The sequence below is a fragment of the Homo sapiens genome, chromosome 10, assembly GCF_000001405.40.
Source record: "Homo sapiens chromosome 10, GRCh38.p14 Primary Assembly".
NCBI lineage: Eukaryota > Metazoa > Chordata > Mammalia > Primates > Hominidae > Homo > Homo sapiens.
The window spans coordinates 77377344-77404155 of NC_000010.11; the positions used below are offsets into that span (position 1 = coordinate 77377344).

General features: G+C 44.8%; 1 protein-coding gene across 54 annotated transcripts in view; it reads right to left on the bottom strand.

Annotated features, from left to right (window-relative positions):
• Positions 1-26812, bottom strand: part of KCNMA1 (potassium calcium-activated channel subfamily M alpha 1) — a 768207-nt gene that overhangs the window by 507742 nt on the left and 233653 nt on the right. For 53 of the 54 annotated variants that reach the window (XR_007061964.1, XM_017016222.3, XM_024447990.2 and 50 more), the window contains one exon: positions 26519-26680. The exons of the other annotated variant lie outside the window; for it this stretch is intronic. Coding sequence is in view for 52 of the 53 variants with exons in the window: in XM_017016222.3 (XP_016871711.2) it covers positions 26519-26680 (162 nt within the window). In the remaining variant the exon portion in view is untranslated. The remainder of the gene's footprint in view (positions 1-26518; positions 26681-26812) is intronic. 54 annotated transcript variants of the gene reach the window in all.

Genomic DNA, 26812 nt, shown 5'->3' on the forward strand with positions numbered 1-26812 from the left:
TCCTTTTAGCTGGCTCATAAAAGGAAGAGAGATGGGCCAAAGAGAAAGAGCTGCTGGGTCCTTCCCCAACTAGAACATGGGAAATGATGATTTTCCAGTAGGGAAGTGGTGGCCAGGCAGGCAGGCGTCGACTAGATGGGTCCCTCTGGGGTGTGGTGGAAATGACCTCAACTTCAAAGAGACAGACTTCCAGAGAAGGCTGGCATTAGCATCCTGATCTGCTCTACTGAGAATCCCAAGGGTTTTGCGGAACTCTTGCTGGGCCATGAGGATACAGTCTCCTCCTGACCCCAATCCTCTAACCAAAGCAGCTAGGTTTCAGTTAGTGTACACAGAGCTCCAGGCCTCTAAGAGTGTGAAAGCCACTGCCTCAGGAGATATCCCTTGCTGGAGATCCTGGGAAGTAGAGGCTATGGAGGCAGACCACTTAATAGCTGTGCAACCCTCAGCAAGTCATTCATCCACTCTGAGCCCGAGTTCCCTCCTGTGTAAAACAGCAGTTATCACAGTGCCTAGCTCCTAGTCTGGGTGTGAGAGTTCAAGGTGAGGCCAACCAGTTGCTTCACTCCGTGCCTGGCTCATAGTGAGACCTCAGTAAATGTGAGCTATTTTCTTTCAATGAATATTTGCCCTTTCCAGCATCACAAATACATGAGCTTCCAATTCTAGGGATACAAAGACAGAGGGGCTTTATTTCTTTCAATGAGTTCAGAGAAGTCCCTAGCACTTAAACTGCTATACACTGAGAGAGTAAGCCATAGTTCTGAAAATGCTCTGTGTGCTCATTCACCTGAAGCAGCACTGGGGGTCACTGCAGCCTCAGGTGCCACCGAGCCGACAGGCCATGAAAAGAACACCCACTGACTCACTCATCTGGGTGGAATGGTTTCATGGGGACCCAGGTGAGGTGGTGAGGTTGCTGCTTTTTTATGTATTGGCTTTTTCTGCCTCCCCAATGCCCCACTTCCGTCGCAAAAGTGTCTGAGTTCTGGAGCAAAGGCTCAGCTAGGAAAAGTTTCAGATATTTTCTTTGTCTTAACCCTTCAGGGAGAGGAAGGAAAATCTGTCTCTTGCCAGGGTGAGGGCCACCAAGCGGGTTAGCTCACTCTGCCACATTCTGCATTTTCTACCTTCAACACAATGGACAGTGGGATGTCTCTCTCTTGCCATATGCATTCAAGAGAAAAGCCCTGGTTTGGGTGGGGCTCTGGTTTGGGTGGGGTTTGCATTGGGTCTACAGCCACTAGCAACTTGCTGTAGTCAAGGCAAATGACATAAGCTCTCTGATCCTCAGCTTCCTCATTGTAAAGAGAGCTCTTAGCTCCAGGTCTCATTACTTTCAGGGTATTTAGGATGTTTAGATGCCAAATAAGACAGCAGAAGGCAGAGCACCTTGACAAGCATAAAGCACTGTATGCAAACATAAAGCATGGTGCAATCTCACAGGACTGGTGGGACTTACCCAATTATAAACAAATTTATAATCACATGGCAGGAAGGGTGGAATTTCAAGATAGAATTATTATTCATTGTAAGATGACTTGTGTAATATTGTAAATGACTGCTCTTCACCCCATCCTCTGATTCAAATTAAAATCCTCATTCCATGGCCCCTACATGTACGCTCATTTTCACTGTTCAGTTACAAGCAACAAGATGAGACATTTTGACGCCCTTGGTAATTGTCTGGTTTCTAGAAGTTCTTGGTTCACAGGCCTAAGCATGTTTCATTTGATGTTTGGCACCATAGAAAACAGTGTATGTTTAATGATTTCTGTGTTAAACTGAATAATGAATAACCAGGAAAGACAACAGACCAAATAGCAACTTCTTGATACACCTGCTTGACGGAATTCTGAGCCTTTTTCCCACTCTATCAAGGACAACTGCCTAATGGAGAGTCAGAATATTTTTCTAATACAAATAAAGTAAAAAAGCAATGTAATGTTATTATCTTTTAAAGACAGAAATACTATTAAATCCTCAACCATTTTTAAATTAAAGCATAAAACCCTCTTCTACCCAATAAGCAATAAGAACTCACTTGAATTCCTTTTCACAGGCATTTAAGGGATACTAATGGGTACAGACAGAAGAGGGAAAAGTACAGAAAGGAAAACAGCAGATAAATATATAGAAGCAGAAAACAAGAGTAACAGAAGAGAAGCAGAAGAGACTAAGGAAGGCATCTAGGATGCAGTTGTGAAGAGAAAATCAGACATATGTAGGCAGAAAAGAAAACAATCAAACAAACAACAATAATAAAATTAGAACTAAAGAGAAACTTTCTTAAAGGAACCCATAATTTTGGAAGCTTATCAGTAGATTTTAAAAGTAGACTACAGATTTATGACTACAGGAGTAAAGGGTGTGTTACTCTTAGTAATTGTTTCCTTAATGACATAAAATCACATCAAGACTATATCCAGCTCATGGGCCAGCAGCTCCCCATCCCTGCCCCATAATGCTGCACTGTATTATGTTTCAATACAAAACATTTGGTGTCCACTTGGGTCAGCACCTCCATCAGACTGCCATCACTAAGGGAACTGAGCCAGCCTCCCACGTCAGTTTCCTCCCCTATGGGCTCCACTGAATGGGGATGAATGCGGTACCTACTCTCATAGTAGGGATATGAGGATTAATGAGGTGATGTAGAAAAATCACCTGGTATTGTAGGTGGCATTTAGTAAATCCTTCATAAACACTAGTGTTCATTATTAGTTGGGGTTACAAATAGTTACTCTCAGAGGGGGAAAAATGAATGAAAGTGTGTGAACAGGTTAAACAAAATATTTTGGAAATTTTATGTTGTCGTCTGAAAGTTCTTTCATGTGCATCTAAAGGCATCACACTCACTGTCACCCTCTTCACATGGTGGGTATCAATATAAAGAACATTCTTCAATTTCTGCTTGACTGCTACATCTCATTTCTGTCTCTAGGTTTCCACTGAGCCCTCCAGCTCAAGGGGCCTCCCTCCGCATGAGTCGTCTTTAGGAAGCCCAGCCTGGTCTCTAATTTTGAGAAGCATTTCCCTTATTTCAGGTCTTCATTCAGCCAGTGGTTCAACCACTGAACCACTTCAGTTTCCTTCCTTCATTTTATTCACAAAGGAATCCTTTCATCTACAGCCCCTAGCTGGGCTCCTTTGAAGAGACTTTCTCTTCTTGCATTATTTTCTTGGTCAGCCTTCCTTAGGAAGGAATTAAGACACATTTCAGGAAACGGGCAGAAAATGTTAATCCTTCTCTCCCTCATTGTCCTACTCATAAACGCTTACTCCCTCAAATGCACCCATAAATAAGCTGTAGATCCACATCTGGTTCTGAGCCCAGCACATAGTAGGAGCTCAGATGAATGATCACGCCTGACTTCTCAGCCTTGCTTCTGCCATCCCTTCCCCTGAAAAATCTGCTCCTCTCTACTTAACCTAGTAGAACCCTCATGAAAGCTGTTGTCCCTGTTGAAGGAATGATGCCCCAAGCATCCAGCGTGTCTGCTGTTTACTTCATGCACCTTAGTGGATGTGGTGAAATGAAATGACTTTTCCATTTCCAAAGAGAAAGTGCAAAGTCTCCAAACTTATGACCTCTTTCTCAGAATGCCAATATTTACAGCTTAGCCCTGGGCAACCCTGTGCTTTTCTGACCTTAGATTCCCATTTGGAGTGGAAATGGCTTTTCTATTTCTCCCCAAGGTTCTCTGAATTAGATGACCAAAGGAGAACTTACTTCTACCAAGATGGGTCTATGAGACCCATTCAGGCTCTCATCCATTCGTTCAACAGATTCATTCATTCAGCCCCTACTGTGTTCCAGGAAATAAGTGTCAACCATACAGGAGTGACCCAGACAAAAAGCCCTGCTTTTATGGAGTTAGTTTGGATTTTAGTGGAGACAGGGGAAGATAGATGATAAGTAAAATAAATAAAGTATATATAGTATATTAGAGAATTATAAGGTTTATAAAGAAAAAATGAAAGATACAATTAGTAGGGAATGGGGATAATTTAAAATAGGGGGAAATTTATAAACATAATGGAAAATATGCATGTAAGTAAAATTCCTTCCAAAAAATGGAATATTTAACACTAACTTGCGGTGTAAACATGAACACATCATGGGCTCCCTCCAGGCCTCGGTTTCCTTCTCGGCAGTATAAGGTGGAACTACAAGGTATCTCTATGGTAGCTTCTGGCACTGAAATTCTCTTTCTCTACCCAATAGATAGCAATTTGAATTAACACTAGAGCCTGTTGGGACCCAGTGATTGTGGTCTAAGTTTCAATGACTTTTTTTTTAAATCCCTACATTCCTTGGGGTTCCCAGCAATGTCTCCAGTGGGCTGCTGGTCCAAATTAATTGTGAGAGCAACCACAAATTCCCTTGTTTATATTTTTGAATTGTTGACTTAGAATCAGTTTTAAATCTGAGCCCTTCTTCCCCACAGATACTCTCAAAACAGCCTCCTGATAGGCACTAACCCCTAAGAAGGTCATCAAGTGGGGCTCTGAGAGCAAGGATGCTGGGCAACCCGGCTTCCAATGCCACTTATCCTAGCCACATGAGTACTCATAACAGGCTTGACGTCAATTAAATCATACTGGCCCTGAGAGGCGCCACCCAACAAACTGTTTCTTCTTCGTGGACTTTTTGTTCCCTCTTTATTTATTTTCCACTGAGCTACAACAAGGCTCAGGAGGAGGCCCTTCATCTAGGAAGAGTCATCTTGGGACCATCTAGGGAGGAAAAGGCATCCATCAGGCACTCATCAGCCACCTCTGATGAAAAGCTTCCTTTGGGGTAATTTCTCTGCACCACCGAGTAAGCCTTCTGCCTGCTGGAGGAGCTGTGGTGAGCATGTGAAGGGAGGTTCTGAAGGCTTCAGCAGCAGCCACCAGTCCCCCTGCAGCCCCTAATGAGAGGTGATCCTTGTTCAACTCCTGCTATGTGCTAGACACATTCTAAGCACTTTACATGTATTAACTAACAAGTCTATGAAACAGGTGTTATCATTATTCCCATTTTACAGATGAAGCAAGTGAGACACAGTGAAGCAGCTTGTCCAAGATGACAGTTTGTAATTGGAGGAGAAGAGCCCCTATCAGCATCGCTGTCCAGAAGAAACATAAGACAAACCACACAGGTCATTCTAAATTTTCTAGAAGGCACATTTCTTTGACACTTATTTTATTTACAACTCTATGCAAATTTAAAGACAAATAATATTCCAAGTGGGGCCGGGCATGGTGGCTCATACCTGTAATCCCAGCACTTTGGGAGGCCAAGGCGGGTGGATCACCTGAGGTCAGGAGTTTGAGAACAGCTTGGCCAACATGGTAAAACCCTGTCTCTACTAAAAATACAAAAATTAGCTCGGTGTGGTGGTGGGTGCCTGTAATCCCAGCTACTCAGGAGCCTGAGGCAGGAGAATCACTTGAACCCAGAAGGTGGAGGTTGCAGTAAGCCGAGATCACACCATTGCATTCCAGCCTGGGAGACAAGAGCAAAGCTCCGTCTCAAAAAAAAAAAAAAAAAAAAATATATATATATATATATACACACACACACACACATACATATATATACATATATACACATATACATATATATACGTGTGTGTGTGTGTGTGTGTGTGTGTGTGTGTGTGTATATATATATATATATATATATATATATATATATTCCAAGTGGAGGAAAGAAGTTTTCAGATTGCTCTCACTTGTAACTCCCATACATTAATTTTCTTGTACATTTTTCTTTAAGATTATAATGTTGATTGCCTCCTAACAGTCATTTCCATCCCCCTCCCTCATTCAGAGAACCCTGATTTTGTTCAGGGGTGCAGGTACCTCACCAAAACTGATGCTGGCCCCACTCCTGGGCAGACCTCGATTAGTCTGAGCAAGCCCTGGTGCTCTCATTCTTATGCCAACAATTGGCTTAGGACCGACCTGTGACTGGTTCTTGACCTGTGAAATAAATGTGCAGGTGTGCTGGGGGCTTCTAGAAATGTGGGCCAGACTGCTGAAGAAGAGGCCTGGAGAGATGGTTGCTTAACCTCGAGATTTTTTTTTTTTTTTGCTTTCTTTTTAGTATGATAAAATATACATAAGATAAAATTTACCATTTAAGTAATTTTTAAGTATACAGCTCAGTGGTATTAAGTACATTCACATGGTCGCTCAGCCATCACCATTATCCATCTAGAAAGCATATTTTTTAAAAGTAAAAAGAAAAAAGTGAAATTAATTTTAATAATGGAGTTTAATCTATACAAAATATTATCAATAAGTAATCAATATAAACATTATAATAAGGTTTTTTTACAGTCTTTTTTTGTACTAAATTTCCACTTACAGCATTGTTGCTTTTTTAGAGACAGGGTCTCTCTGGAGTGCACTGGCATGATCATAGCTCACTGCACAGTCCTTGAACTCCTGGCCTCAAGCGATTCTCCTGCCTCACCTCCAAAGTAGTTGGGACTACAGGTGTGCACTACTACTCCCAGCTTTACAGCACACAGCAATTCATATTTCAGATGCTCACTGACCACCGGTGTTGGACTGCCCAGGTTTAAAGTTTCTCAGGCTTGTGCGTGCTCAGCCAGCTCATGGGCATCTCCAAGGGACAGCAGCATGCTGTATGTTTATGAAAGATTTGTGCGTCACCATCAGCTCTCTGGGGCAGTTTGCGATTCACCGCAGGACCCTAGATGGTGTCTGACTCTAATGGTTCTAGATCAGCCTCTCTAACCCCCGCGGAGATCACTGGCATCACGCTGATGGACAATACAAGATCTGAAGCCTAAATGAGAGCTTTTCCTGGTGGAGCAAATACCGTGCCTCCATCACCCAGCTGTGATTTCATCTCCCAGTTGAGAACATGACCTCAATGGCAGAGGTAGGGACAACACCTATGCAGCTGCACAGGCACTCCCAGGTTGGACCAATAATAAATAAACACATTCCTACTTGGAAAGAGGGCAGCATGTGTGCAGGGTTGAGGCAAGCCGTGGTTGCCATGGAAACCAGCCAGCATCACTCCAGACTTTTTCCCTGGTGCTCGGATCATTGGTGGCTGACGAAGCCCAGTGGAGAGGCATTGTTCCTGTACTTATGGAAACCTTCCAAATAGGCCCATTATGATGAAAGCACATCAAAGAGGGAATGATGACGTACCTTTACCATCCATCGTCACATCCACTGTTTGTCCTGGGTAATACCCAAAAGAGAAGAAAATAAAGCCACTCTTGCCACAGAGGGAAATAACTGGAGAGCACTGAGGTATGACACTAGGGGTAGCAAGGTGGTCCCCAAAGGGGAGGCAATGAAACTGCCCCATCTCACCACCATAGTGAATGCTCGACTGGACAAATGGTTATGGCTTCAGGGATTTGCTACCTGCCCAAGCTGACTTACAACTCACTTTCTATGGCAAGCCTCTGGTTTGCTCTCTTTCTGGAGCCACGTATGTTTGAGATCTTCCCATTCATTCATTCTTTCCTATGCCCATTCATTCCTTCACTCATTCTTGAATGAGAAGCACCATGGTAACATGAAAACAGCCTGGGTCATCGAGTCATGAGATCCCAGATTTAAATCTCAGTTCAGATGCTTATTGGATGTGTGATCTCACCTAAGCTATTAAAGATTCTCTGAGCCTTGGTTTTCTCACCTGTAACATGGGGACAAGAGAAGAATAATGTTTGCCACTTGTCTTCTACACAGTCATACTCAATGTGTTTATACATGATTTATATCTCATTCCATTTTGATCAACAATTACCCAACAGAGAGCCTGGTCTCTCCAGATACTCAATAAGATTATTGAATTATTGATTATTGAATAAAAATATGACAATGTGCTTTCACATATATTTCTTCTCTCTCTCTCTCTTCAAATTTCATTTTCACAGCAATCTGGTTCAAGGTTGTTTCAGCCCAGCACAGGACAAAGAGGATTATAAAATTAAACCACATGTTTCTGACTCTCAGTGAACTTACAGTTTACTATGTTTTATTAACAATGTATACAACACTTAGTCTGCCCCAGCTACTGTACTAAGTACTTTATAAATATTAGGTCATGTAATCTGCATAATAACCCTATGAGGTAAGTACTACGATTGTCTTCTGTCACTGGCTCAGGGTCACACTAGTACATGGCAGAACAAAGGTCAAACTCAGCCAGTCTGGCTCTATAGCCTGTGCTCTTAACCACTCAGCCTCATTGCCTTTAGAGTGGATAAGTCACATTCACAAGTGTATGCGAATACTCTCCAAGACTGATGGATTCAGAGGAGGAAACACTATGCACTGCATCTTAAAGATGAGGTAGGATTTGAACACATGGAGTGCATGGAGGAGAGCAGAAGAAGGACAGGTTGGAAAGAGGATAGGGGCCCTGACCATTTGCTTGAAGTGTTTGGGCTTTAGACCTTGGAAAGCCACTGAAGGTCTCTGAGCCATGGGGAAACCTAAGCAAAGCTGGCTTTGGGGAAAATTCATCTGGCAATAGCATGAAAGATGGACTGAAGCGGGGAGATGGGACAAATGAGGAGAGTGACATGTAGCTGCTATAATGAGTGAAGGAAGGGGTCACAGGGCTTAAGCCAGGACAATGGAAAAAGAAGCATCAAGGGCAAATCCATAGGACGTGCCTCCTACCAGGATGTAATATGTCTCCCCGAGTTTCCCACCAAAACTTTCACATCAGAAACAAGTTCCAAGGAGCACTCACTGGGCACTTTCGTGGCCATCCAGAGTGGCACATGGGTGCTCTATAGCACTGCTTTCCTCAAAGGAAACATGGGGTCATCTTGAGCAGCTGGAAACACTGGCTGAGCCTTTCCTAGTTGCATGCAGCCATTTACTGAGGCCAAGGGGGCAAAATCTAATCCTGACAAAGAATCCTGGCCACCTCAAATGCAAAAGATAGCCAAGTACAACGAACCATAGTCCCGTTTGTTATAATGTCCTATAAATCACAGCCTAGGCCTTACAGTTAATAGGGCTTTCTATTCCAATTCCCATTATGCTGGAAGGGGAAGAGGAAGAATTGAGGAACGAATGAGGAGTCTGAGAGTGAGTTACGGCCCAAGAATATGACTTGTCAGCCGTCTTCCAAGCTCTACCAATTGCCTGAAATTCTCTATCCAGTCGTAGGTTTGCATAAATTCCTGGAGAAGGCTTTGTCTGATACCACAGTGAAACAGATGCCAGGGTGCAGGCACAACAGGTAGACTCATAAAACTGGTAAAGAGAACTTTGCTTTGACAAAAGCTGGAGTTTTCCTTGTTATTTATCTTTCCTATTTGAAGCCTTGAAATCCCATTTTCATCTTGATGGAGATGATAAACTCTTAGAAAACTTTTATGGCTCCCAGGATGAAACTGAGGACTCTGCCTCTGCTCCCCACTGCAATTCTGGCAGGCTTTTAAATTCAAGTCAGGGCAGAAACTGTTTTTGGTCAGAGGCAAAATGTATTTATCTCTGTAAGCACAGCCATTAAGATGTGAGCATGAATAGCTAAGAGAAAGAACATTAAGGGAGAAACAGGAAGAAATAGAAGGTGAGGCTATGATGGAAGGAAATGATGACGCATCAACCCCCACCAAAAGCTTTTTACAGTGCCGGGGGAGTGGGGCACAGGGAAAGGCATCTGCAGCGATTGGGAGAAAGAACCCGGGAGTGGGCTGAGGGGAAGGCTTTGCAGTGGGAGGGCTGTGATCAGCGTGTGCTTCATGCAAAGAGAATTTTGAGAGTGGACATAACAAACAGGAAAATTGTGCTTGCATTTCTGTTTGTCTGTAGAATCACTGTGGCTCTGAAATCCACCCCCTCTGCTCTCCAAACACTAAAGAAAGTCTCCAGATGGAAAAATCTGAAGTCAGGCTGCAATATGAAAAAAGAAAAGAAAAAGAAGGCTGCTACAGGAAGCTGACAAATTTGCTGTTTCTCTGAGGTCTAACCTATGCAGCTGGGGTATCAAATACTAGACAGGGTCAGGAGACATGTCTGAAACTGACCAAATGACCTTGGACAAGCCCCACTTTAATCACACATAATGTAAACTTTAGGGAATGTGACCTAGAACAGGTAGCTAAGGCACAAATAACACTAGTACTACCACCCTCCAAGCTGGCACTCATGGCAGGCATCATTAGTCAGTCATGGAATTGTTCTTTTCTTTTCTTTTCTTTTCTTTTCTTTTTCTTTTCTTTTCTTTTTTTTCTTTTCTCTTTTCTTTTCTTTTCTTTTCTTTCTTTTCTTTTCTTTTCTTTTCTTTTTAGATGGAATCTTGCTCTGTCACCCAGGTTGGAGTCCAGTAGCGTGATCTCGGCTCACTGCAACCTCTCACTCCCAGGTTCAAGTGATTCTCCTGCCTCAGCCTCCCAAGTAGCTGAGACTACAGGTGCCTGCCAGCATGCTCAGCTAATTTTTACATTTTTAGTTGAGACAGGGTTTTAGCATGTTGGCCAGGCTGGTCTTAAACTCCTGACCTCAAGTGATCCACCTGCCTTGGCCTCCCAAAGTGCTGGGATTACAGACGTGAGCCACTGCACCCAGCCCTCGGAATTCTTTAGAGCAGAGCCATTATGACTGTTTGCTGCTGAACCTTAAATCTTTGGCCAAATATTCTCTGTAGCTGCTACTGATCAATCAGAATGAACCCAGAAGATGAAAGCTGATGAAAGATGATGAAAGTTCACCATTGCTAGACTTGATCTCTTCTAATCCTTAAACACTAGAGCCAGATAAGATTGCATGTCATGTGTAATCTCATTATAGACATCCTTAACTAAGTCCTACCTTGGTTTTCTTTTCTCTTTGGCCTTCTTTCCAAGTCTTAGCAGCCAAGGCTGTGAAATAAGAACTGGTATGAAGGCTCTTCATTCAACTCCACATCTGAAGCTCTGAAAGTGACCTTGTGCACTTTTCTTGAGCCTCTTTACTTTACGTTCCCCCATTCTGCCACAAAGCTCCTGGTGGGGCTGGTGTCTCCTCTACTCTCCTGCTGATTTCATCAAGGTAAAGAATTCTATTCCTTTTCAAATGCTTTGAGATCATGGGATAGAAGACAGCCTGGGGAAGTTCAAAGACGTTTAATCATTAGCCTCAGTTCTTTTGAAAATTATTAAAGAGCCCAGAATTAGAAATTCAGATTTCCTCCAAATCCCTGAGAACAAACAACTCTCTTGTAAATGGCTTAATGTGTCTGTTTAATGTACACAAAATTATCTTTCAGGAAAGTGGATTGTTTTTTATATCATTTTGCATCTCTAAAATATACCACCTATGGCAAAAGGATTGGGATTCAAAGTCTGACAAAATCTACAGCAGAAATAATTAGCACCAGAGGCTGTTTCTGAGAGTTAAATGAAAGAGAAACTGGTTATTTATTTATTTCTTTTCTCTCTATCTGTATCTCTCCATCTCAGCCCCGGGAAGAGGAATTGTATCTCTTGGTGCTAGAAGGGTGGCTTGCTGAATTGCCTTTACAAGGTTTTTTTCTGTAAGACAACAACTGAGCCCCCAACACACAACTCCCTGTGGGCCGCAGTGCTATGGAAACAGCTGCAGTGCTCCAACTCTGGGGAAAACAACCAGATAAACCCACTGGTTTGCAAACTAGGCACAAGGGCAGAGGAATAGTGATGTTTTCTAATTTAGCATCCAGGGAGGCAAGGGGGAGTCTTTGCTTAAATCATGTTAATGAAATTGGAAACACTTGAAATAGCCCATTGAGGGTCTGTTGCCCCTGTTTTTTAAAGTTCATCTAAAAGTTAACCTACAAGGAATTTTCATTTGGGGAATTTCTGCAATGTCAACTCCACTGATCACCCACAGTGTTTAACACCCTTGCTATAAATTTGGGGGCTAGCTTGGCAGCTCCTGCCACCCCCCTGAGTCTGCTACCTTGCTCCAGAAATAAAAAATGACTTTGGCCACAGTAATGTTTCCTCGATCCTCAGCCCCTCCTGGGGGCCTCCGGCAGTCATTATTTTAAATAAACATGCCTTTTATTGTTTTCAGGTACACAGAGATGGAGGCGCTTCTACCTCTGGAGGAGGGATGGACTTTCAGGGGCCCCATGATTTGCAGCAGTTCAGTCAAAAGCAATACAAAGAGCAAAGGATAGGGGCTGTTATCTCACCCAAGAGCTCCTCAAGCAGAGGATACTCAATTGGAAAGGAGGCTCTTCCAGTCAAATTTGGGGCTAGTGGGGTCACCACGTTTGATACCAACTAGGAACAACATCCCCTTAGAGGCTTCCAACTGAGGAAGGTTCCAAAAGAGAGCTCCATGGCTGAAATGATTCAAAAGAAGCCAACTCCTTCTCATTGAGCTGGCCCTTTGGAATATGGCCCCCTCCTCCCACGGCATCCTTCCCCCTGCCCAGTGCCTCAGGCCCATCTACATGCTTCTACCTATAGGCTTTGCTTCTTCTCTAGAAAGGAGCAAAGAAGGAAAAGAATCATTGGAGGTGAGTCAAAAGCAGGCACCGTAACTCACGGGGCCTTGTAAGCCAGGGACACAGTTTCAGATTTTACTTCAAATGGAGGCAAAACCATGGGAGAGCCATGCAGAGACACCCCTTGATGAACTCTGCTTCACGCCAATCACTCTGGCAGCTAAGAAAAGTGCATTCTCTCTCCTTTTGCAGTTCTCCTGGTGCCTAGCACAGGGCCAAGGGCACAGTAGATGTGAGCCTAACACTTGTGGCCTTTGCTGATGAAGGACAGTGAAGGGGATAAGAAAACATAAAGATATTTTGGGCTGCAAGGGAACGAACTACTGAAAAACTACTGCGGCCCCCTCTATTTATGGAGATGCTGAGGCCTTGGAGAGGGAATTGACTTGTCCAAGGTCAACCAGAAAAGTGATAGCAAAGCCAGGGTTAGTATCCAGGTTTCTGCTGATTGCAGCTCCTCAGATAAAAGTAAGTGACTTGCCTCTCTTCTCCCATATCCAGAATTGATCTCAAACACTGTCATGAATCCCCAAGGGCCAGAGAGACACACAGCATAGACCAAGGTGAGTAAACTGTTTTCTCTCTTTCTGATGATCTGAGCTTTTTCCTGGAGAGATCTCAGGTGGCCAAGAAACCAAGTTGCCCACCTCATGGTTCAGAGGAAACAATAACCTCCTGGCAGCTTCCCTGGGAGCCCATGCAGGTGCCTCAGGGATTAAGGAGCTCCTGAAAACAACTCCTTTCCTTTGCAGGAAGTGATTTTCCACCCCTGAGGCATAACACCAGGCAGAGGCTCTATCAGTGCCTGCTGATATAATTAGCTCTGGACAGACTCTCCAACCAAGGCAGACACAACCAGGCCCTTGCTCTAGAAACAAAAAGAATGTTCTGGACCTATCCCAGTACACTTCCAAACCCCACGCCTTCCTGGGCAAGTCGGGGCTCAGAGACCAACAAACCCAACAGACTTCAGCAGCAGCCAGGGAGCTGGCAGCCTCTGTCCCCTGAAATGCCACTTTTTTTTTTGTGATTCAGCCTCTGTTTCAAGCTATTTTTAGTGTAAGCAAAGGCTGCATCTGAGGGAAGGTGGTGTGGGAAAGGGGTCTTTACTTTCTCTCTCCTTTTCAATGAACTGTCCTGTTTCCCTTAGGACAGCCATTTCACCAAAAGCCACAAAACATGTGGGGAGGGAGGATTAAAAAGAAAAATGGGAAAAAGGTCAAAATTCAGCCTGTTTGCTAAAAGTCTGGGAACAGTTCTAGGAAGGTGATAGTTTCTCGATCCTTTGCGTTAACCTGCTGAATCCTGGGCTGCTCCTGCCAGTGGGGAACCAATATGCCCAGTCCATCTACCTTCCGAATTAACCAACCTCCAGTAAACAAGGAAGGCCCAGAAGTTTGCTCTCCCAGGGACGTGGTGCAAACAGGTTTAATGGTCCCCCTTGATGCCCCAGGGAAGGATGTGTGCCCTTGGAGGCTTGTGAACAGAGAAGCAAGCTTCCGCTCACAGAGGACCCTGGCTTCCCACCCTCACCCCGTCTCCATCATGTCAGCACAAGGCCAATTTTACAAACTGAAATTAACTGGATGAGCAAAAAGATAGCCTTGGTGCTTAAGAGGCTTGGGTACATTTAATTGAGTTTCCAAGTGCCCTGATTCCTTAAGAAAGCCAGAGAAGCCACTGTTATGTCCTAGATCCCTCACTACTCAAACAGGAGAGAATAGTTTTTACAATAAAAATTTTAGGGCAAATGGTGGCTTTCTGTTGTTGTCATTTCCCTGAAGTAGGTTTTTTGTTTGTTTGTTTGTTTGTTTGTTTGTTTGTTTTTTTCTGGAAAAAGCCTCACTCTGGACCCAGAGTCTAAAAATGAGGCTTTTAGTGCACCAAATTGGGCTGTTTGGGGCCCGTAGGCACGAGTCAGTCTGCCTCCTCCTAAACATAGCCTCGTAAACTAAACTTGGAAGCATCAGCTTGCGTGTGGTCCCGAGTGTGACTTTCCAAGCATGCACTCCCCTGCAACGACAAAGGCTGATGACTTTGTCATCATCATCTCTATTTTTGAGTCTCCCTGCTAAACAAACTTTCTCGCAGCTGAAATGGAGGCTCTAAGGATATTTTTCTGACAAAAACGGAGTGCTAAGCCATCAGCACCCTCTGAAGGCCTTGGGGGAAAACCTGGGTAAGAAAAGTCTCCCAGCCCAACTCAGTAGCCGCAAATACAGACATTTCATTTCCTGAAATGCCTCCAGGGGGCGCCAGCTTTCATGGGTTGGGAAGGAGGGAGGGAAGGACGGAGGAATGGAATGAGGCGAGGAAGGAAGGGAGGGAGGGAGGAAGGGAGGGAGGGAGGAGGGAGGAGTGGGGGAGGTGGGAGGGGGCAGTGGGGAGGAAGGAAGGAAGGGAGAGAGGGAAAGAAGGAAGGGAGAGAGGGAAGGGAAGGGAGGGAAAGGAAGGGAGGGAAGGGAAGGAAGGTAAGGGAGGCAAGGGAGGGAAGGGAGGGAGGCAGGGAGGGAAACCAACTACTCACATATTTGCCCAGGCCCCTGGGATTCAGCTGCAGAACTGCACAGGATGTGCAATCAGGACTAGAATGTCTGAGCTCCCAGGCCTGTCCAAGGGACTGAGAGATGGGTCACAGGTTCTGACTTATCACTAAACCCTACTTCAGAAACCTTGCCACCCCAAATCATTCTAGAAAATGCAAGCATAACATTTCCACCTTCAACACTTTGGATGACTGCACTTTGCAGCTTTTGCTGAATGAACCAACATATGTCCAGCACATTGAACAGTATCTGACCCCGAGCAGGTGCTCCAGAATGTTTGAAGGAATGGATGAAGGGATGGAGGAATAGCTCAGAGGAGCTGCCTCGCATGTGCAGTAGAATCTGGGTCTTTATCTTCTGGTGACCTCACACGCTTTCCCATCTCCTTTCAATGAATGTGTGGTCACTACCTGTCAAAATGTACATCAAACCCACCTCCCCAAATACTGGTGCAGATGTGCCCTCCGAAACCAGCCTGTCCCTGCCCTGTCAGCCTCGCCCCACCTCCAGGGAGAAGTGGATACGGAGACCACAGTAAGTGCACTTGACCCTTTTTCCTTAAGACTCATCTGTTGTCCTGCCAAGGCATTTCCTGTGACACATGCGCCCACAACGTACAGCTCCAGGGAGAGCCCAGCCCGTTCTCCAGTCCCCAGCCAGCTCAGGGAGGCTATATGAAGTGAGAATTTCCTGGCCAATTTGACAATGGTGAGTCAGGCTGGCATGAGCCAGCTGCAAAGAGGACGCAGCCTGGACAAGCCTGAATTAAGTGTGTGCACAGAGCAAACATCATCATCTGGATGGATCCAAACCAGGGCTTGCCTGGGGCATTCAGAGCCTTTCAGATGGCCCTGCCCAGAGCTGCTCAGCACTCTTGGAAGATGTCTGGGTTTGGGGAGGCTCAAGGGCTGTTCTTCTACCCCTGCCCCAGAAAAGGATTTGTTCTTCACCCCCTGACCCGTCTGTCTCCATACCAGCCCATTTCCTCCATGACATGGTGACCGGGCTCACACACACAATAACAAAAATAATAATAACCATGCTTATCAAGCACTAACCATGTCAGAGGCACTGTTCTAAATATTTTACATGCATTAACTCATTAAGAGGCAGGGACTATTATTGTCCCCATTTTGTAGATGAGGAAACTGAGGTATGAGACAATGAAGCCACTCGCCCAGGGTAAAAGCCAAGCCCCTGAGACAGATGGAGCTGGGAGTCAGGAGTCTGCAGAGGCTGGGCTTCCAACTGCCCAGCCGCACCACACACAGCAGCTCCTTCCCAAGATGGGTGTCCCAGGGAGAGAGGCAATGCAAGAGCTGAAGTGAGTTTTGAGGCTGCTATGGGCTCCACCCATCCTCCTTGTTTGTTCCAATCAAGTGAGAACGAGACACAAGGAGCAAGATGGAGATCAAAAAAGAGTAGGAGCTCTAGTTCAGATCATGATGCACTGACAAAGGGGCAGGGTTTCTCACTCCCAGGCCCCAACAGAGACTGAAGCAAAGCGGACAGAGACAAGACAGGACCGGCAGAAGCAGGCCGGACTGGCTGCTGACTGCACAGAGGCTGCAAGTGCTCTGCTTGCTTACCAGGCCCCCACTGACCTGTGCTACGCTCAGTTCTGTATACTAGGGAACACCAATCAATGTCGGTGGATCACACAGGTGGATGAATGGACATAGATGGATGGGCAGACAGACAATGGGATGGAAGGCCAAAGCAGGCACCCACATGCACCTGGAAACTTCAGAGGAGAGGGAAAACAGCCATGCCAGCACTTGCCATCAGAGCCCTGAGGGCCTGGGAGCCAGAGATGAGTGGCCAGGATCAAGTGGGCTGTCCCTGGACCAGGAGGCTCTTCCTCACTCTGGAGCCAACTGAGGGTTGATTTCTGAAACTCTCCTTCATTTTCACAGCAGCCCTGGGGAGGGCAGAGGAGCCAACACACCAGCTAGTAAAATTAACAGCTGCTCTTTACAGGGCGTGCCGGAGAGCCCAGCACATGGCTCGAGGCCTGCAGACCAGAAGCTGCTGCGAGCTGAGGTGCCTGGCCTGCAGGCCCTGATCAGGGGTCCTCTTGGGGGTAAGGCTTAGACTCTGAGCTGCCAGCAGGGCCTGGGGTGTGGGGGCTGCCGAAGCAGTGGGCAGGTGGATGGAGAAACTCAAGGAATGATGCTGCTACAAAATTCTCAGACATATTCTCCTGACCTTGCGAAGTGGAAATCCATATGTTCACCCCAGCTGGGAATCTGCTATGGAACTTGGGGACCCACCTGGCTCTGGCCTCTCCATCTCTAATGCAGTACTTAGTTGAGCTTGGGGAAGTGAATGTAGACACGTCCCCATGAGAAGGGGACAGATGTTATATCTTATCTATTACCTATGCCATAGGTAACTTATGGAGCAAGTCCTGTAGGCCACTTGAAGAGGAATATTGACAGGCATACAGGGAGTGGCAATTGTTTCTTTACAGGGACAGATGGTAATTATTTTAGGCTGGTGGGTGTTTTGGACTCCGGATACTACTCAACTCTGCCTTTGTAGCTTCTTACAGAAGCAGCCACAGACGATACGTAAATGAGTGAGCATGGCTGTATTCCAATGCAACTTTGTTTATGGACGCTGAAATTTGAATTTCATATAGCTTTCACATGTCACAAAATACACTTATTTTGATTTTTAAAAAATAACCATTTAGGCCAGGTATGGTGGCTCACATCTGTAATCCCAGCACTTTGGGAGGTCAAGGTGAGAGGATTGCCTGGGCCCAGGGGTTCAAGACCAACCTGGGCAACACAGTAGAACCCCATCAGTACAAAAAATTTAAGAAAACATAGCATGTCATGGTGGCCTGCACCTGTAATCCCAGCTATCAGGGAGGCTGAGGCAGAAGGATCGCTTGAACCCAGGAGTTTGAGGTTGCAGGGAGCTATGATTGCACCAATGCACTCCAGCCTGAGCAATAGAGTGAAACCTTGTCTCTGAAAAAAAAATAAAAAAATGTAAAAACCATCCTTAGCTTATGAACCACACAAAAGAGGCAATGAGCCAGACTGTCCCACAGGCTATAACTAACTGATCCCTGGGCTAATTAAATGTTTCCCAAAGTGAGTGCTATGTGATGCCCACAGGTATTACATGGGGAAAGGATTCCACAGGGAAATGAAAATGGAAAATGCTGGGCAAAACAGAGCCTTTCCGCTTTCTGACTGCAGGACTTCTGTAAGTATTTATATGCTGATATGCATTGGCAATCTCGAGGAGGGGGATGAGAAATGAAGTCTATCCAAGTTCCCAGGGAACCATTTTTATCCGGGAACAATTCGTGGGTCTAGTGTTCTATGGAACCTAATTAAAGCCATGAGGATAAAGTCTAACCAACTGTCAGCAACAGCACTATGAAATGCGATCCTGCTGCTCTTTGAATATTTCTAGTAACAGGCAGCTCACTACCTGTCGGGGGAGACTGCTCAATTCAATTATTTCTCTGACTCATGTTTTCTCATCTGGGTAAATGATGTTGAGTCAAAAATAACAAATCTAGTGCAAATCTAGTGTATCTTTCATTAGATAAAGACAAAATTTCATGTTTAATAGTAAAAAAAGAATGTATCTTCTTTGACTTTTTGACTGATACCCATAATGTGATTTCAGTATCTATGCATGGGATGAAATACAGAACCACTATTAAGTCCTGGAAGGAAATTATCATATGGTTCCTTTAAACAGAAGCCTCCCTTAGGAGTGTTAAAACAATGCCAATAAAACTCCAACTGATTCCCAATAGCAGAGAGCAGGACATACCTATTCACTATGGGACATTCTTACTAAAAGTACAGTCCTGTGAAACCTCTAGTCTTTCTGCTACACAAGGCATTGGCCAATGATGTAAGAATTTTACATAGATTTGCCTAAAATATAATAAAAGCTGGGGCATAGATGAGGGGGGTGAGAGACAGAGACAGAGACAGAGAGAGAGAGAAGTGTGTGTGAATTTGCCACCAGGCACCACTGAGAAAGAAAAGTAGAGGATACTGATGGGAAATGTCACAACCTCCATAGGGCACCTAACAGAAGTGAATGCAATGAATGTGATATATTTGATTATGTGTGTGCCCATGTGTACTCCCACTGGGTTCAACCAGTCTAATTTCATGCGCAAACAGCACATCAGTGAATGTACATCTATTTAACTCTGTTAAACCAATAGGATTATTCCTATTTGAAAGGCATATTTGACACATATTTTCTTTTGGGCCCTTGGAGATAAAGATGAAATGGTCCAGGCTATGTATATAACGTTAATGTAAAATGCCACACATGCAACATATTTAGGGGGATAAAGAGAGAGGCTGATATTTTTCTTTCTTCTTACATCGATAAATCATCCCTATACATTCAAGCAAGTAGCATATGCTTTCAGTTCATAGAATTAGCTGTGTAAGCTTCCTGGAGCAATACACAGATGTAACAGCATAGGAATATGGGGAAAGTAACTACAAAGAGTGATTCTAAGGGCTCTCTCTAGCTTTGCTCAGGAGCTGGTAGCTATTTTGGCAAGACCAGTCTTTGAAGAGACACACAAAACATTGAATCTGTCAGGGGGTTGAGGTAAAGTCTAGGCAGTGTAGATGTCGCTCCCAAGTTGAGGTGAGGCTGTCCTTCACCACAGGACATAGTTTCCCTAGGGAGACAGTTGCTGTGAGATCAACATGGAAATGAATATGAACATGCAGAAACTAAGTGACAATGTGGATAGTGAGAGTATGTGTGTGTGCCTGTATTTATCTTTGTGTGTGTATCACTGAGTCTGTAACGCTCCTTTACAAAGAGTGTGACACTCTTGCTACTCGACCTTAGAGAATCTCTTCGCCTCCAGCCCCAGACTTTCAATTTCTTTATATATAAAACAAGGGGATAAATTAGACTGAGTCAGCAAACTATGGTGTGTGAAACAAATCTGGCCCACCACCTGTTTCTTTTTTTAAAACGTTGTATTGACATATAATAGTGTACATATTTTGGGGGATGCATGTGATATTTTGGTACATGTATAATGATTAGATCAGGGTAACAGAAAACCATCACCTCAAACATTTATCTTTGTGTTGGGAACATTCTAATTCTTTTCTAGCTATTTTGAGATGTACAATAAATTACTGTTAACTATAATCTCCCTATTGTACTATCACATGCTGGAACTTATTCCTTCCAGTCAACTGTTTTCTCTACCCCCTATTTCTATAAATACAGTTTATTTGTATAAATGTAAGGAGTATGAGTGCAGTTTTGTCACATGGATATTTTGCACAGTGGTGAAGTCTGGGCTTTTAGTGTAACCGTCATCCAAATAGCGTGCATTGCAACCATTAAGTAATTTCTCATCACTCATCGCCACCTCCCACCCTTCCACCATTCTGAGTCTCCATTGACTACTATTCCACTCTCTGTCCATGTGTACACACTATTTAGCTCCCACTTATTCATGAGAACATGTGGTATTTGACTTCGTTTCTGAGTTGTTCCACTTAAGATAATGGTGTCTAGTTCCATCCATGTTGCTGCAAAAGACATGATTTCATTCTTTTTTATGGCTGAATAGTATCTTATTGTGTGTGTTTGTATATATATAAATGTAATATATATACATATATAATGTGATATATATGCATGTGTGTGTATATATGTGTGTATGTGTGTGTGTGTGTGTGTATTTTTTTTTTCTTTATTTAATCATCCACTGATGGACCCTTGGGTTGATTCCATAGCTTTGCTATTGTGAGTAGTGTTGTGATAAACATAGGAGTTCAGGTATCTTTCTTATATAATGATTTCTTTTCCTATGGGTAGCCACCAATTAGTAGAAATGCTGGATCAAATGGAAGTTCTGTTTTCACTTCTTTGAGAAATTTCTGTGCTGTTTTTCATAGAGGTTGTACTAATTTACATCTCCATATAAGTGATCCTTTTCTCCACATCCTCACCAACATCTGTTATTTTTTGTCTTTTTAATAATAGCCATTCTGGCTGCTGTGAGATGATATCTAATTGTGGTTTTAATTTGCATGTCTCTGAAGACTAGAGATGTTGAGTATTTTTTCATATGCTTGTTGGCCATTCGTATGTCTTCTTTTGAAAAATGACTATTCATATCTTTTGCCCACTTTTAAATGTTATTTGGTGATTTTTGTTGTTGAGTTTTTTAAGTTCCTCATGAATTCTGGACATCAGGCCATTGTTGAATGCATTGTTTGCAAATATTTTCTCCCATTCTATAAAGAAAGTTTACTGGAACAAAGTCACACCAAGGCTGTTTGTGGCTGCTTTCAAACTACTGTGGCAGAGTTGAGTCGTGGAGCCCACATGGTCTGCAAGCCTAGAATATTTACTATCTGGCCTTTTATGGAAAAACTTACCAACCCTGAATTTGACTACCACTGTTGACTTTGGCTTATGATTCTATACAGCACAACCAAACTATACTAAAACCTACACCATACGTTTCTTGCCCTCTTTATTTAGAAACCACCTTATTCTTAGGGGGATTTAATTTACCTGACAAAAATGTATGGAACACATAACTGCATACATGTAAATTCCAAATAGGAGTAAGAAAAGTAGGGCAAAGGGAAAATGAGAGGAGAGATGATGAAGACAAGCCAGAGCAGGGGTGCAAAGACACAGAGCGCAAACCTGAGCCACTCTGTATTTTCCATAAGCCACCGACTTGGCTCTGAGCAGCCACCACTGAGAGACATGATCCCTTTCTCGATTTAGCATGCTCACTGGATGTTCACCAGGAAAACCACAACAATCTCTGGTGCAAAACACTACTTATCCCATGAGTCTGTGCATAAAGCAGGTAACATGAGATGCAGTGAACAAAGTCCTCAATGACACCCAAACAGTTAAGAGAAATCCTGACGACATTGACTGCTATATCCAAATTTCCCTCCGCATGAGCCGACTCCAAATCCCACAGTGGAATTTATCAGCACGTCTTCCAGCACATTTCAATTTTTTTAAAAAAAGCAAACATATATTACTTTTATAATCAGAAAATAAACATTTGTTTAGTTAAGAAAAAAATAAAAGGAAGCAGTACTCTTGACAGCCTGGTGTTCACTTTAATGTAGAATCCCTCAGCCACGTGCTCCAAGAGAAGGCTCTGTCCAGTCCTGCTGTTTTTGGCCAGTTGAGCCTGAGTGCCAGGGTGAGAGAGGAGGCAAAGACAGGCTATTCTGAGATCTGGAGCCGGGGGGTCAAGGAATTTTTATCATGTGGATAATCAGGCTCCAGGCGTTGACTATAAAAAGCACTGGTGAATGGCAATTATCATTTGTCATTTCTTAAATTGAGCTCTGCATCCTTATATCTAGTTTATCAATATAAATAATTCACACCTGGATCTCTGTTGCTCACTGCTTTATGCCCAGTGCCTTGAACAGTGCCAGGTACAGATGAGCAGTAAACACTTAGTGAATAACGGATGTGCTCGTCTGGGAGATCCTACAGATATTCTGAGGTTGTATTGGCAAATTCTTCCCCAGCTGGACCTTACTCATGATGTCCCAGCTTCGAGATTCACACCTGTGACAATTAGACAGGTGAGATAGAGGCCCAGATGAGGAGGCCAAGCTCCTGAGCGTGCATCAAGGAAAACAAATTAAAAATTGAAACGGGAAACTGAATAGCCAGCTGTCTGGTCTTGCTTTGGTCCCATTGTTGCAGGGATAAACATTTGGACGGCTCAAGACAAACACAGCTTTGGGTTCTGAACAGGCAGTGCTGCTTTCTCTTGCCCGCCATTACTTAATTGTGAAATCTCTTCTTTGTTCAGTGCAGGGACCTGCCTGCTCCTAAAGGGCAGGCCTATTCTCAGGATACCGCCTGGAGCTCTGAGATGCCTGCTTTCTGTGCAGCAGGTCCCACTTGCTCTGCATGGCCCCAACAGCCTGGGCAGGATTTTCTCCAAGGAGACCTTCAGAGAGCAGCTGGCACCTTGGGCAGGCTCAGGCAAAGAGGCCTGAGTGGACCATGCTTCTACATGCAAATGTTTAACAAGCAGGCCAAGCATCCTCAGGACCAAATTGGCTAAAAGATGGTAATGTCAAAATGTCACAGCCAAAGTGACAGCTGTCAGTGGCTTAGAAAAGAAAAGGCATTATCTTCGACTGGGAAGTAATGACACAAAAGGAGCACCAGACTGGGAGACAGGGAGCTGGCAGGTACTAGCCTGGCTCTGTCACTCAAAGCTGAATGTTTTTAGACAAATAATTGCCCTTGCTATATCTTGATTTTCTCAACTGTAAAACAGAGATGAATTCACTGATAAGATTGGCCTGTTTTCTTGTAATGAACCCCTACAACACAACAGCAATAAGGAGATACGGAAGAAATACGACATTGTCCTTCCCCTTCAAACTGATCATAACATATAAGGTTAGCACAGTGCCTGGATCACAAGAGGCGTTCAACAGTGTGATTGCCAGGAGAGTCTCAAGGTGGCCGCTGGGTGTGCTGGGCCCAATGAGTTCCATTTCCATGATATCACCCACATGGGCTACCTGCATCTTCTGCTTGGTGTCAGTGCAGACCGTGCCCCACCAGGACCACATCAGGAATCTGCTCCCATGCCATCACTAAAGCAGTAGCTTACTGCCCTAACTTGTCCTATAGCCTCCAAGCTCTAGCCTCACCCATTCAGTCTCCACTTGTCCCCCAGCTCTCTCTGTACAACACCCCCTGCCTCAAAATCTCCTTGTTCTACAAACTTCAAAAATTCATTTTTTTTTTTTTGAGACGGAGTCTTGCTCTGTCACCCAGGCTGGAATGCAGTGGGGCGATCTCAGCAGAGCCGCTCACTGCAAGTTCCGCCTCCTGGGTCCGTGCCATTATCCTGCCTCAGCCTCTCGAGTAGCTGGGACTACAGGCACCCGCCACCACACTGGCTAATTTTTTGTATTTTTAGTAGAGATGGGGTTTCACTGTGTTAGCCAGGATGGTCTCGATCTCCGGACCTCGTGATCCACCCACCTGAGCCTCCCAAAGTGCTGGGATTACAGGTGTAAGCCACCACGCCTGGCCCCAAAATTCTTTAGCATGGCCTTTAAAGCCCCACCAGGCTGTCTCCAGGACACTTCCCCAGACTTTGGGGTCTGCACCCCCCATTTCCCAGAGCGCCAGGCTCCTTCTCTGTTTTTCCTGCTCCTCACTTTGAAGGCTTTCTTCTCCTTTAACTCTCAAGATCCTAACTCACACTTAAAAGCTCACTGCAAATGCATTCTGTCTTATTAAGTATTCTTCACAAATTCCAGCCCACCTAGTGGTCATTTTCTTGTGTTTAAGCCTGGATATGTTTTTATTTTTTATATCTTCCCGCCATAAAGCAGCTCATCTTGAAATGGGAGTTTTAGTTCAAAGACTTTCCTCCCTATGAAAGCTTTTCTGATCAGCCCTACTTTCCCCTACAGCCCCTCCCCACACTCCACAAGTGCACACCGTGTTTGTACTCATAGCACTTATCCTCCATGCATTCCTTCAATAACTTCCGCATATGGTGCAATAGAATCAGGATCCTTCCTTGTTTTCTCCAGAGCTGAAACAAATACACTTGGCCCAGAATTAGTGTTCAGTAACTCTTGCAATGCTGATGAAGAAAATTAGAACTGTCTATAATGGCCACATGGAAGGAACAAGTGTCACATTTGTGCAGCTAAACTGTCTGCTGCTCCCCATTCACTATCACCACCATACATATAGAATACACTACCTCCATTTTGTCCCCATGAATACCCAGACTCAGAATTCAACCTCTCTTAAGTTTCCAATGCAGAATCCACTCCTCTTCAAGCATGAAAGAGCAATGGAGACTTCAGTCAAGAGGCAGGAGGAGAGATAGAGGTGCTGTTACACAGCTCAGCCAACAGCAAGTCACCTCCAAGTCCCCACTAGACACTGTCCCTCCTGGGTCACACCAGACTGAATTGTCTCCCTCTCTGCCTTCCTCCAAGCAGCCACTGACCTCACCAGTTTCTCTCTCCTCCTCCAAAACTCCAACTTTAAATGTCCCCTCTTTCCATTTTGCCATCAATTGACATCAGCCATGGTTTCATAACCAGACCCTTCAGCACACAGCTCACGGCAGATCCCTCGGTGAACAGAACCTGTCTTTCTTGAAGGCTGTGTGGCCAGCACCTTTGATTACTCAAGCACCACGTTCATTCTCTCACTCCTTCCCACAAAAGTGTGTGTGATATTGATCCCAGACATAACATTGAGTTCTCCCCAAGAAGGATTCTGAGAAGTGAAATTCTCACCACCTCCCTCCATCTACAGTCACCTCTTCACTGAGTTTTTGCTGTGAGACTCAGAGATAATGACTGTTTTCCAGTGTCCCTGCCTGGTCTTTGAGCCTCGCAGGCCTCAGGATGTCCCTACTCCTTCCATCTATGAGCCAAATGACTCTTGACTGAGCCCTAGCTTCATGCCAGGACAGGTGGCCCAAACAAAACAGCTTCCAGAATCACAATGAGAAATCACTCCGAATGCAATATCCTTCTCAGGGAAACTCCTGACCCAGAGCAGACCCAAGAAAGCAAGCTAGGGCTTTCCTAGAGCATGGGCCTGGCTATGGCGACCAATTCATCCCTGTTTGCCCAGGACTTTCCCAGTTTTTGCACTGAAAGACTCATGTCTCATGTACCCCTCAGTCTCAGGCAAACTGGGATGGTTGATCACTATAAGCCTGTCCCAGTAATGATCCTTGACAAAAACCAAGGGCTCATGAGGCCAGCCAGTGAAGCCAAGCTTCATATAAGCAGATCAGAGAGATGTTGGAAACATACAGAGAAGGGGCAGAATCAGCCCTGGTTGCAGGTGGGCTTAGGAGACAATCTCATCAGAAAAGGGCACACAAGCGAGCTCTAGGTACACGGGCCAGGCAGCCTCAGGTGGGCTACTGATGCATCCACCATCAGCATGACTGATTTCTACCGTGCACAGGGCCCAGCTCACACACTGCAGAAAATTAGGAAACTGCTGCAAGAGGGGGTCCCTATGGGCTACCACAGGACAAGAAGAACATCCCCCGAAGACCACCAAACACACACTCACTCAGCACTCCCCAGGATCCCCGCATTTGTAGCCCTTCCATGAGTTTCTGGTATATTTCCTTAACCCTCTTCTCCTCTCCAAGATGATGGAGGGTGTGTGTGTGTGCGCGCATGTGTGCTTTAGCAGAGGAAATGTGCTACATCTTCCCAACAACCCTTCTCCACTGCAAATCCCACTCCTTGAAAATCCCTCCACAAACCACTGTACACAAGGAACCGAGCCTCTCCTCCATGACCACGCGGGAGCACTTGCTGCTCACCCCCACCTCCCAATAGCCAGCCTCCTGCAGAAGACCCTGGGGAATATCACGTCTCATAAGCAAAGCCACCTTGGCCCAGACAGCAAGGCCTCCTGGTGTGAGAAGTGGGTGGAGACTCACCAGGACTCTGCCAGTCAGTGTCTGGGCGGATATCATCACCCCCGCCCAGTCCTTCACGGAGGTCATCCAGCCGACCTCGGCGGCCACTGCCTCCTCTTTTTCATCCACTGGTTTGAGAGTGCCATCCGCCTGGCTTGAGCCATTGTTAATCTTCTGGGCCTCCTGGCAACAGAGAGAGCAAGAGTTAAGACATAGGGAACAATGGATTTAAATAACATGCTCTACCCATAAAGAACCAGAGCCAGAAGGGGTCCCCAGCTGAGATGGAAACTAGCTTAAAGGTATAGGAGTAAA